Source organism: Homo sapiens, chromosome 2 (genome assembly GCF_000001405.40).
Source record: "Homo sapiens chromosome 2, GRCh38.p14 Primary Assembly".
NCBI lineage: Eukaryota > Metazoa > Chordata > Mammalia > Primates > Hominidae > Homo > Homo sapiens.
In genome coordinates, this window is record NC_000002.12 from 157,590,163 (window position 1) to 157,604,152 (window position 13,990).

The following is a 13,990-nucleotide window of genomic DNA, read 5'->3' on the forward strand; positions in this document are numbered from 1 at the left end:
AAAATAAATAAATGTATTATTAATGTAATGAACTTTTCGTTAAATCACAACTGCCCTCCCATAACTATCTAAATGTTCAACTTTTTACCATATAATCTTTGTTAGTAAAACTAAAGTCTTTAAATTGCTAATCACTCAAATTGGAGTTGCTTTTGTAGTACTTATAAAATATTTGATACACAAATGACAACTTTTACTTAACTTCAAATACCGATATGGGAGCAAAAATGGGTACTATTCCTATATAACTGAATATTTAAGAAAGAACAAATTCTATATCAATCATATAGAAATTATTCTCTTCTATCAATAATTTTTCTTAACTGATGAAGCATCATTTCTAGAAACATTTTTATTACTGGTATCCTAAGGGAAATACAATCCTAAAATAAAATACTGTTTTGTTATCAACATTGAACCAAGCATAACAGCTCACTTTCCTATTTATTCTAGTGGTGACCAACATTAATAAATATACTTTTTCATCAATATTTATGTGATACAGAAGAACCATATATTCTAACTTGATTGGGATTCTATAGAGCCATATAGATAAAATCTAGTGCTTTAGAACATGTTTCAAGGCACTTTCCTTGCAAAAAGAGAAGTCATATCATGGGCAAGCATTCATCTAGGTTTCTACTGACAATGAAATCTTTCTAGTATTCTCCAGTTCCAATCTTACAAATCTGATTATACTAGCTTTGTAATCTTAGGCATTACTTTGTCTCCTGTACCTCCATTTTCTTATATGAAAGGCAGGACTAATAATAATATATCTCCTCATAGTGTTGTGGAGAATAAATTAGTTAACCTATATAAAGCCCTTAGACCAATGTCTGGCACATAGGAAATACTATATAAAGACTTAGGGACTATCTCTCCTACTACCGAAGCGGGTAAAGTCAGTTGTCTTATGCAAACAAGCGAAACAATCAAAATATATTTGTAATCCATAAAGGAATAGCCAAATGAACTAGGGTGCAGAGACCATTTAAAAGGCATAATAAAGAAATGCATCTCTTTCCGCTCTGTCAAGAGTGATTTGACTGCTCTCCTTTTTTTAATGACCCAGACTAGATTCTAGACGGTCACACAGCAGGTAGTATCTGGTGATGGTCCAGCCAAAGAATTTGGGAAAAGACAAAGGTCTCAGCCCTCACTCTGTCACTAACTTGCTGATTGACTTTGGAGAAGACATTTAACCTTACAGAGCCTCAGTGTTGTCCTCTGAAAATAGAAAATGAACAGCATAGGGAAAGTGGGTCCAAAAATCTTAAACTCTTACATAACACCAATATTTTATGACCCTACTTATTTACACCTTATGGAAATCTACAATTACAAAATAGGAAAACTCATTTAATGTTAAGAAACTTGCTGCACTATGGTTATTCTTCACTTGCATATTTTAAGGGGCTAAAGGCAGGAAAAAGAGTAACTCTTCTGACACACAATCTCAAACCATTTGTCACTAGACATTTCATCAGAATCTCCTTGGACGCTCTATTTCCAAGAAAAGCTTAGCAACTGACACAACTAACTAAGGAATATGAATCCACAGAGTGAAGACAATCATAAAGCACTCAACAATTAAATATATGTTAGTTTCACATGCATTCGTCATCTCATATAATCCCACTGCAACTGTGGGAGTTAGTTGTCACTATCTCCATTTCATACATAACAAAATGAGGCTCAAAAAGACAAAGTGACTGACTTACGTAACAGTCTCTGGACTACTCAAGCAATGGTACCTTTCATGACTAAGGTGCCATAAAGAAATGGGTAGGTGAACAATTCTCCCACCCCACAAATTTCTAGCAATTGTGAATAAAATAGAATTCTAATACAGCAGAAAGAAGCTGATAACTAATTAACAATTGAAAACTAGGATTCTGATCTGTATTATTCTAATAGCCTTTAAAACACAGTTGGTATTTTTGAAACAAATTCTACCTACCTATTTTCTGAGGGGACATGCAGTCAAATAAAATTCAATATCATGTGCCTTGCATCTAAAATAAACAATCTCACCTTACAGCTTTATCTAAATTCTGTATTAAGTAAGGCTCTGAGTACATAATCTGATACTTTCTCTTTGAAGCACTACTGGCTCCTTATAAAAATGATTACATAATAGTTCTTACCAAGGATTTATGCGGATACTCACTGAATGTTTCACAAGCTATAAAAATTTATCCTGGTTAAAAGTAAAAGTTACAAATCTTAAGAATAATATAGACATAGGTGATATAGTTAAGACAGAAAGTGACACCTTACTTTAAATCTTGCACGATGAAAAACACTGGCAAAATTGAGGATTTGTTAATGATAATGGCTTCAAACATCTGCTACATGTTCCCATTTATTCCAGTTCAACTGGCAGTATGATAGGACTGACAGCGAACAAACAGCAAACTAAATAGGACCTAAGATGAATAAGTAACATACGACATACTCAGCCTCTCATATTTCATTTCCCACCAGTCCACTATATCACTGCATTTGACATATAATTCAACTATATTTATATTAATCATCCTCAACATAGAACCTTTGTGCTGCCAATTACAATATAAGTTGCCATTAGTGATTAGACATGATTTCATATTTTGTCTCTTTCAAAAAAAACTGATGTTCATTGAGTCAATTATACTACAATATTCTGTGACAGAACAAATCTGGTTGTTAGTAGGCAGTAGTCTTGTCTCATGTTTATTTTATACTTTCCCATTACAATGTATTTGAGTCCTATGGAAAGGGACAGCAAATGAGGTTGAAGAAGGAAAACAATTACCCATAATAAGGAGGTTTATTAGATTTTTCACCACAAGGAAGATTGTACTTTGCTTTTGTCTCCTCCTACCCCTTTAATTATCCCCTTTTATCCACTCTTTGCCAATTCGTCTCTAAAAGGCAAGACATCTGTTACCCACAAGACATCTGTTACCCACATCAACTAAAGGATGTGCACATTCCTAACCAACCAGAAAATAAATATTCATCCATATTTACATGTGATGGCTAGCACACCCTGGTGTCCAGAAATATAAAAACCATCTGACTACAAAAAAGAACCAAATTTGTTGATCCGCATTTATGTGCTATTCTTATTAGAAAGCCAAATATTTATTTGGCAAATATTAGGTGTTTTGAATTAGACAGTATTCTCAATATGTTGGTTACATATTACTACGTTTCCTTTGTTTGGAGTCTATATGCTAAAATTAACCAGTGCTTAACATAAACATCTGACATAAACTCTTTCTTCTTTTCCAGACATTAGTTTATTCAATTTCTCTAGTTTTAGACCAGGCTATGAAACACAAAATATTTTTTTAATTCAGAAAACTGTCTCAGATTTGACCTGCTGAATATGTAATCTTTTCATCATTTGCAGGCTTCTGAGTTAACAAAGGGAACAATTCAAGCTTTTCAGTGTGCTGAATATGAAAAGTACAGCAGCAGGAAAGAAGCCAGGAAAACTAGCACTAGCAAATCTGAAGGAAAGCCAGACAGGGTCAAAGGAAATCGGGCAAAGATCTAGCTTCCTTTTCTATTCCTTGTCAAAATTTTATTTTCTTGTCATGTGGTCATTTCAAAGCATTTGCCTTTCTTAACAGTAAGGAAAAACAGAAAAAAGAAAGAAAGAAAGTAGCATTAATAAAATATGGGCAATATAAATGCAAACTTTTTTGGCCAAATGAGCTTTCAATAAAGATTCAGCTGGTAGAAATACTACTTCTCAGGCTGCAACCAAAAAAATTCAGAACTCCACAAATAAGGGAAAACATCCATCACAAAGAAAAACTGTTCCTTTGCACAAAGTAGCAATTACGTTCCCTGTTAAAGAAGGCCTCACCCTTAGAGCTGAGAAGGAATGAAACCACCCTACCAACAGAGATTCTGTCCAGGAGAACTGCTTAAACTTCCAGCTGTAGGGCTCAATTTAGTTAGAATTCAGCATATTGTAAATTATTAGTACTAACCATTTGGAATTTTCTCAGTCCAAAGGCAACACTGACTGACACTGGAGGTTTTAGTTCACCTGACCACCAGCCACCTGAGACTTTAGACATGTTCCCCAATCTCTCCAGATCTTATCTTCCTCACCTGTAAAATGAGGAGGTCAAGAAGCAGGCTAGAAGACTTCTAAAGACCCCTCCAGGTCTATAGTCCTCTGCTACTCTGAACTTGTGTCACAATTCTCAATATAAGTGACTTAAGGATTACCTATGATAGATGAAAAGAGAGAATTGGTGTTGGGTATGTGAACAGGATAGGTCTGTGCCCCCAAATTCACACCCTGCTATTTCAGTGGGTGAGAGAATTCTACTGGTTTATAAATCAACAAAACATCTCTAATTAATATTAAAAATTGTTTATCCTGTACTATATGTATTACATGATAATTGAATGTTCTTTCCAATATCAGCATGAAATTTGGGGGCGATGGGGGAAAAGTGATAGAGGCCTGAAAATGTTCATAGCCTCTCTGAGTTATGTGAGACATCCAGAGACTGTTGATGAGTCCCTCAATCTTAGTGTCCACAGGATTACAGAAATAGTATGCAAGACCAAAAGCGACTCAAAATAGCACCACACTTCAGCAATCTGAATAGTCTACATTCTACTAAGTAGATATTAAAATGTTTCCCAATAATATTTCAATGGCTGACAGCAATTAGAGCTTAAAACTGGCTAGAAGAGTGTTATTTATTTACTTACTGCCTCAAAATTTTGAATACATATGGAAAGGACACGTATGATGGCACAATGTCATAAAGCTTTTAGTGCAATTTAAAAACTTAACAGGAAAATTTCTCAGTTTAGCATTTCTGCTTATCAGCGTGGTGATTAACTGAAATTTTCACCTTTCAAAGAAAGCTTTTTCCAGAAATACCATGAATAACCTTAGCTGCTAAGCTCCTCCAGTGTGGGACAATTATTAATCAACCATAAAGGGATACAACATAATCAAAATGGTTCACGACAAAATTATTTGTGTGGATTCTCTTAAAACATCCCTTTGAAAGGATGAAAATGCAGGATTCTTAGATAGGAAGATGGCAGTCTTCTCCTTCCTGCCTTTGGAAGGCAAGGCATGAGTGGGCAACAGGCTAGCAGGGGTAGCAGTTGGTGATAACCGCTCTTGGGTACATAGCAGTGTCTCCAAGGCTGAATCTTTGTTTCCTTAGGGAGGATACAGACTACCTGGAGTCCTCTGGCCCAGTTTAGACTTTGCAGCCATGTAGGGGGAAAAAACAGACCCTATTTGAAGTGTCAAAGAAAAGAGTATTCCCAATCACAGGACACATTTCCTCTGCTAATCACATATAATCCTTAATTTGAAAGGTTATTTTCTTACCCTGGCAGCCTAAATGGTTCCACATCAAACTGTTCCCCAGTAATTGGGGTTTCTTAATCTATTGTCTCCTGCTTAGGAGAATATTGGTGTTTAATGGATTCCAATTACATTTAGAATAAAGCAAAATCCACAATCATTATCATGACCTGATAGGCTAATAGTCTGGGTTCTTCCCACTCCTCCAACCTCATCTCTCATAACTCAGCCTTCCGGAGCACTGGTCTCCTTTTCACAGCTGTGATATAACAAGTTTCCCACCTCATGGCCTTTGCTCTTCTTGTTCCCTTTGCCTGTAGTATTCTCCCCTTTCTTCTCATTCTCCAGGTCTCAGCTCAAATGTCACCCCCTCAGAGAAATCTTCAGTGACTCCCCTTGCTCAAGGATCTGCTCCCCATCCTTCCTGCTATGTATCACAATCTGTAATTCGCTTTTTAATTGTATTAGACCCACTAGAATGAAAACTTCATGAGGGCAGGGCCCTTCTCCTGTTTTATCTACCATCACATCCCAACGTTTAGAATAGGGTCTGTCAGTGCGGTAAAATCCAATAAAGATGTACTGAATTACAAATTGTAGAAAACTGCAAAGTACAGAAGAAATTTTTGTCCATGCTATTTATCTCTTGGATGAATTTTAAAGTTTCTTCTCAATTTGAAAGAGGTTTTTATAAAGATATAGAATAGAACAGAATAGAATAGAAATAGATATAGAAATCCTTTGTCATATGTGTTACATATAGCTTTTCCCACTTTCATATTTATTTGCTTTTTTCCTAACACATTACCTTCATTATTTGGGGGGTGGGGGGCAGAACGATACTTGCCCCTTGACAAAAAGAAGTCAAGTAATACACATAAAGAAGGAAGTAAAATAAAATACATCACTCCTAATCCCATAACCCCCGAACCACTAATGTATACAACTTCTCCAAATATTACTCCGTGGAGTTTTACACTAGATATGCATAGTGATGTTCTCATTAAAATCCAATAACATGATAGACATAAACTGTGTCTATCAATATTTTACTCTGCAATTTATTTTGCTTTAAAGCTTAGAAAATCTCCCATCCAGATATTTTCTAAATAGTCAATATTTTCTTCCAATTTATGATTTGTTTTTTAGACACTTAAATATATATGCAATTTTGATATGGATCATCCAATTCATAGCTAATATACAAATCTCCTTGACAGTAGTAAATGAATTACTTTATGGCAAGTCTTTAGATAAGTTTTTAAGATCATTATTTAAAGAGTACTTTACTACATGCCAAACTCTTTGGCAAAGAGTCAAGGCAGGGAGGGAGGGAGAGAGGAGAGAGAAAAGACATGCACTAAAGGAACTTGGCCTTGTAGGTTAAAGGATGTTAGGACAGTGTGGTAAACTGAGTCAGGGACACATGTAGGAGCTGTGAGCTGCGTTGGGACACAGAGGTGGAGCACTACTGAATCCGGCTGGGGCTGCGGGTAAGGGACGGGGCAGGGGCGGGAAGGTTTCTTGGAGGTGAATCTTGAGAAGCACACCTGTTCAGCCTTCCTGCCGTTCGGAGGACGAGTCCCAGCCCATCCTCTCAGTAGTCCTCCAAGACGGTCCAGACAGCACCCACCAGCCTGAGGAAACCGCGGCAGTCCTCCCTCACCAGGCAGTGTGGAAATACCTCCTGCTGCGACGCGGCCCTGCATGTGCATTAACCTGCCCCCACTTTGTCAACGGGTTTGGTAACACTCACTGCCCTGATGGAACTCCATTCCCGGTCCCCAGCGCGCTCCCCACCCCAAAAAGGACCTTGGCACCCCGGCCCGCCCCCGGGGAGCTCCCCTTGCCTGGACTTGCAGGTTGGAGCTCGGAGCCCTCCCCCAGAGCAGCGGCCAGGAGCTTCCGCCTCCCCTTCGCCTGATGAATTTGCGAAGGGACACCCTGCGGTCGCCGGGATGCCCCAGCTTTCCGCTGGACCTTGGCGCAGTGAATTCGGCCCCGACGACAGCTCCCGCGGGGCTCGGCCACCTGCCCGACGGCAGCGCAACCCCCAGGAGACGTTCTCCGACGGCTTCCCGGCGCACCCGGGTACCATCTAGTGGCAGCAGAAGCAGGAGGCAGGCTATTTTTTACAGAATGACCTCCACTCCGGATTAGCATTTCTCAAGCATTTTTAAAACCTGTGTGTCTTTAAAATAATCATAAAATGTCGCACTCTCGATTTTCTGTTATTTGAAATTTTAAAATAAAATGCCTTGTCTAGAAGCAAATCAATGCAGTGATGATTTGATGACGCTTTTTCATTTGGAAATAGTGGCCCTCCACTCGTGAACGCCCTTAAAGATCACCATTCTAGCCCGGGAGGATTTGCTAGACCGGTATTTATTGAGAGAAATCTCTTATTTGAACCAAAAGATTCCACCTATCCAAATATTGCCAGTGAAGTCTTTCTAAATTGTAAGAAGAAATGAGAAACTGATAATTAAGCCCCTAATGTGTATTATAATTTGCATATTCACATAGGTCCTATTGGTCTTATAGCTGTTATATTTATGCTCACATAAAATCATACCTGATAATGGTGGTTACCAGATTTGGAAATTTCACTGACCAGTAAAATTTCAAAAATAATTTGGGGACCCAACCAAGGGTTACACCAAATTTTTGTGTTGTCAAGGAAGAACATTGAAAAAAAAAAAAAAAGCATCCTCTATTACTATGATTTCAAAAAAGAAGTCAATTCACATGATTTAATCATTTCATACTGTATACATATCAAAACAACACATTATACCTCATAAATATATACAATTATGATTTGTTAATTAAAATATTTATTAAAAGAATAAAAATAAAATAGCTCACATTAAAAAAAGAAAAAAGAGCATTATACTACCAATCAAGAAAGTAAAGACATAAATCCCAGAATTAAGGTCTGACTTTACCAAAATCAAGGCTATCTTTTAAAAATTTCAAATGTGGATAAACATAATTGTATTTTATAATGTTACATTTATTTTCTTTTAATAGTTTTTTTTTTTTTTTGAGATGGAGTCTCACTCTGTCACCCAGGCTGGAGTGTAGTGGCACAACCTCGGCTCACTGCAATCCCCACCTCCTGGTTTCAAGTGATTCTCCTGCCTCAGCCTTCCGAGTAGCTGGGATTACAGGCGCTCACCACCCACCAGGCTAATTTTGTATTTTTAGTAGAGGCAGGGTTTCCACCATGTTGGCCAGGCTGGTCTTGAACTCCTGACCTCAAATGATCCACCCATCTCGGCCTCCCAAAGTGCTGGGGCTACAGGCGTGAGTCACCTGCCCAGCTTTAACAGTCTTTTTCTAATACAAATTATTAATCTGGGGGTTGACTGCATCAGAAAGTGGAGCTGAGTGTCCAAGCTGTTATTATTCCAACCTATTGTGTTAACAATGAACGGCCATACTCCACATGGAAATGTTGTCTCAAGTGGAAGGGGCAATTTTCTGTAGTGCTATTTTTACTCAATATGGAATATTCTGGAAACTGAAAAAAGCTGAATAGGCCGGTCGCGGTGGCTCAGGCCTGTAATACCAGCACTTTGGGAGGACGAGGCAGGCGGATCACGAAGTCAGGAGATTAAGACCATCCTGGCTAACACAGTGAAACCCCGTCTCCACTAAAAATACCAAAAATTAGCCAGGCGTGGTGGCGGGCGCCTACAGTCCCAGGTACTCTGGAGGCTGAGGCAGGAGAATGGCGTGAACCCGAGAGGGGGAGCTCGCAGTGGGCCAAGATGGCGCCACTGCACTACAGCCTGGGCTCAAAAAAAAAAAAAAAAAAAAAAAAAAAAAAAAAAAAAAGGCTGAATAATAATAGCCACCCACTCCAAGCTACAGAGAAAGCTAATAATGGCAGACCAGGTGTCTAGCTAACAAGGGACATCTCTGCCCACGGAACAGGGCTGTTGAGCTTTCCCGGCTCAACAAGCTCACTCTAGATAAGATGTTCACCTGCCAGAAATTCACTTGGCAATGCCTCCATCAGTACTGGAGCACAAATCTTAACACTGTATTTGATCAGCCTGCACACTTTGGTCTATTTTATAGGACTTGGAAGATAGTATGCGTTTTTTGAATTAGTACAGTCTTGGGTTCAATATATTGTTTGTCAAATCTATGATTTCCTTGATGATTAACTCTGGATCAAGAATACACCATACACTTTAAATATTGTTTCCATAGGAAATGATTACCAATTATAATCAACTCCTGAAGGATACTATTTCCAGCAATATCTTGCAGTGATAAGCAGGGATTACTACTCTGTAGCATGGAGAGGTGAACCTGTGTAAAGAAAAAACACCACAGGATCCCTAATCCAGTCCAGGGCATTTAGGGAACAAGTTAGGAGACTTGGGGTTCTAATCCTAGTTCTAGTAATATGGCCTCTGGGCCTCATGTGTTCAACTGATCTGTTTAAGAAAGAATTCAATTAGATGATCTCTAATGTGCCTTTCAGTTGTAACGTTCTATAACCCCAAAAGCAGAAGGCATCAATGGCCACCATCCAGTATCAGAAAGAGCAATAGGAGTGACAGCATACCCAGAAAACCAAGTTGTTGCCCTAGAATCACAGTTGAGGAAGAAAACTGTTCAGGAGAATCATGTATTCTTATAAAGACTGACATGAATAATCAGAGTTCATATTTTGGAGGTCTGTTAAGTCACTGAAATCTAGTTTTGTGTTTTCAGTCTCTATTAAAGTAGAGAAGATAGCAACCAAATGAGAAAAGAGCAGAGTTCAGTGATGAAAGGAGGACATGGCATACTCAATCTATTTGGGAAATATGCCATGAAATACAAAAAATTAACGACAAAAAACATTAAGTTCCAAACTAAAAGCTAAGAAAGCTCTGACTTGTTAAAAGGAAACAATTAAAAGTAACCAGTAAGTAATAAACAATTAATAGTCATATTACACAGTTACAAGATTGAAGAGATAGAAAAAGACAGAACTATCTGTCTCAAGTTTAGAATGAAAGTAGCAAAGAAAATTGAAAAGGTAAAGTCCTCAAGGGTTCTCAGGGGCTCACTTGTCAGAAATTTTTACCACAATCCACAGTTACATATTTACATATGATCAGATATGATAAAGAATAGATAATTCTCAATGTAGAAATAAAAGGAAACTATCCTAAATAAGAAGCTGATCTAGCTAAAAATAGAGTGGCAAGTTCAGAGTTGAAAAGGGAAGAGAAGGACAAGTGATTTGGAAGGATCTTTTTGTTTTATTAAGGCCGATCCTAGCTGAGCATCTTTCCAACACTGACCATGAGGCTCAAAAGTTTACCCTGGATACTATGAGGAATTCATATATTGTGCAAACATAAAAAGGGCGCATCACCTACCCCTCCCTTCAAAGAATATGGGTGGGAAAGGGAGCTGATGAATGGGGAGCACATTTTTAAAATCCATAATGCTTTTTAAAAATATAGTTCTTAGACTTCTAGGAATTGTCATAAGTATTTCAGAAGGTAGGTTACCGGCCGGCTGCGGTAGCTTGCACATGTAATTCCAGCACTTTGGGAGGCTGAGGCAGGTGGATCACTTGAGGTCAGGAGTTCGAGACCAGCCTAGCCAACATGTTAAAACCCCATCTCTACTAAAAATACAAAATTAGCCAGGCTTGGTGGCAGGCTCCTGTAATCACAGCTACTCAGGAGGCTGAGGCATGAGAATCACTTGAACCCGGGAGGCGGAGGTTGCAGTGAGCTGAGATTGCACCACTGCTCTCCAGCCTGGGTGATAAAAAAAGACAGTCTCAAAAAATAAAAATAAAAATAAAAAAAATAAAAAAGAAGGTAGGTTACCTGGCTTCTCCTGGTTCCTTTTATCTATCAAGATACTGTTAAGTAAAATAACTGCCTGTTTCTTTTTTGCAGCTGCCCAAATATATTTCAAGACATAAAAGTATAAAAGTGAGGAAACATAAGAAAGAAGTTATAGGACCTCCAAAAAGTCTCAAAGAATTCATATTAGCCAGAACGAAAGGAAAGTCTAAGGTAGGTCATCTGAGTCTTGCTGCTTCTTTGATAGTGATATAAAACAAAACAAAACAAAAAACTATAGCAAAGAAACAAACGAAAACCTTGTTTGTAGCTGCGTCTGAGTTTAACATTGTTGGAATTCAGCAAGGTGCAGTAAAAAAGATCCTGCACTTTGGAAGATGCGTATCTGTAGTTCTAATCCTGAGCCACCTCTAACCCTGCTGTGCAGCCTGAGAGGTTACCACACCTCTCTAAATCTGTCCATGCACTGATGAAGTAGGGATAATAATTCCTATCTCACAGGATTAGTATGAAAATTTTAAAAAGAGATATTCTAGATAACACATTTAACACACCACAGATGTTAAAAGAAAAAGAAAAAAAAGAACACCCGAAAATTAAGCTCCTGCTATTACAAGTTATGGGCTATTCAGAGCTCAACATTTAAGGCACAAACCACACTCCTTAAAAATAACTTTCAGTGTTTCTCACAACTTTCTGGTTCTGATTAACGTTTCCCTTGGTAGTGACACTGCCACACTAAGGTGATAAAATCAGCAGCTCCAAATCAAGATAGACATTTTCGTTAAAATAAAAAAAAAATTGACATCTGTACATAACGAAGGGGTAGATGTAACTGGAACATTAACTCACATATTGGTTACCACACTAATTTTTCCCTTTCAATCAATTATTTCTTGGGCCCAATAATTTCAACAGAAAAATGAACAAAGTAGATGAACAGAGAAAGAAAAGCTATCAATAAACATGAAAAATTTAAGTCTCACTAATAATCAAAACAGAAAATTAATGCAAAGACATAACTTTCATTTGCCAAATTGGAAATGATTCTGTAAGTTATAACATGCAGAAATGGTTAGGGGGTTGGTCAATGAAATTTCATCTTCATACACAGTTGGCAGAGTATAAGTTGGTACAAACTTTTAGATGTACAATCTGAAACGTTTATCTCAAGTCCTAAAAATATTTATGACATTTGTGGTTGTATTTCTACTTCTACATGAAATAAACACAAAAGTTTCTTTAAAACTTCCATTAGAGTTATTATTCACAAAAGTAAAAAACAGAAATAGACTAAACACCCCCAAATCAAGTAATATCCTCCTTTTTAGTAATATTTATTTAGGTTGGAACTTGTTCACTATAAATATGAAAAGTAAAATAATTAAACATACAGGATATGAGCTCAATTTTTATATATGCATTGAAATAAATAGAATGAAACACATTCAAATATTAATAGTTGTTATCTCTGAGGTATGGGAATAAAGATGATTTTTACATTTTTCAACACTTTTCCCTAATTTCCTATAAAGAATATATTAATATGCTGTAATCAGGGATGAATATTAATTTGTTAAAGTCATTTCTTGTTCCGTCAAAGTATTTAGTTCACAGGGAGTAGCTAAACATATCACAAAGACATCTTCAGTCAGCTTTTCAGCAAAGGCCTCTAAAATAATCCTGATGGTGGGGTCTGGGTAAACACCCACAGGTTTGACTGCCATACTACACCATAGCTACAGCAAATCTGTTTTCAAGTCCAAAAATTGGAATTTGTGGTCTGAAATAGGCTAGCATACTTGAAAGCAGGGCTGTCCCTGAAAATTCAGATACATCATCATCATAAAATGACTCCTACGCTACATGGAAACTTACCTGATCTCTGGGACATAAATAAGACTAGCCTAGCTTGATGATCTTTCCATAACTTTTCCTCTTACCTTTTAATTGTTGAGACAGGGTTACAACAGACACAGTGACTATCCCTGACTGGAGAAGATAATCAAGAAAATGCTGACTGCCCACTATGTGCATGGCACTGTACTCAACAAGGGGTACCTCTAATCTGACTCAGCAAAATAGGTTTGTTAACACATTAATGATCCTCTGTAGAGACTGCAGATGCAAGCAAAATTCTCCATAAGCAAGCTTAATTCTATAGTAAAGCAAGAAAAGGAGCCCAAGTAGCCCATAAGTGTTCTCCTGTAGGTGATAAATGACCTTTCAAGTCCAACCAAGTGCTTTCACCTAAAAGAACAGGTGAGCAAATGCTGCATTTACAATGAGCTTTATCTGTGTACAGATAATGTCCCTGACTGCAATTTCCTTTGCTAAGAGAAGAAATCACTATTCCATGTTAACAAATTAAACATAACCTAATTTATCCTAATTTGATTTCATTTCTATCTACTTAATACCATTTTGCAGAATGAAGATTACACAGACAAAACACATTTTAATATGTACAGAAATTCCTTACTTTCAAAGAAGTTATAAAACATGGGTAAATTTTAATTATTTGTAATTTTAAAATATGTCTATTGAATTAATGTTATAACTGCATATGGCAAAAAAATAGTACAGGAAGAATTTAAAAGAAAAGCATCCATCTGGTGACCCACATCTCCCCACTCTCACTTCCCAGAGGTACCCACGTTTAACTATTGTTGTTATTCTTTGGGACATTATGTTAGGACATTAATTCTAAAAATATACCTGATTAACCAATTTGAAACATAATCTGCTGATTTCCTGATCTGTATGACTTCTTAGTTTATCTATAGGATCTCCAATTTGGGGAGGAGAGCCA

General features: G+C 37.4%; 1 protein-coding gene across 4 annotated transcripts in view; it reads right to left on the reverse strand.

The window, feature by feature from the left end:
• ACVR1C (activin A receptor type 1C) overlaps window positions 1–13,990 on the reverse strand; it is a 102,098-nt gene that overhangs the window by 63,396 nt on the left and 24,712 nt on the right. The window contains exon 1 of one of the 4 annotated variants that reach the window (NM_001111031.2): window positions 7,198–7,398. The exons of the other annotated variants lie outside the window; for them this stretch is intronic. The gene's annotated coding sequence lies outside the window, so the exon portion shown is untranslated. Of the gene's footprint in view, window positions 1–7,197; window positions 7,399–13,990 lie in introns of those variants that run through there. 4 annotated transcript variants of the gene reach the window in all.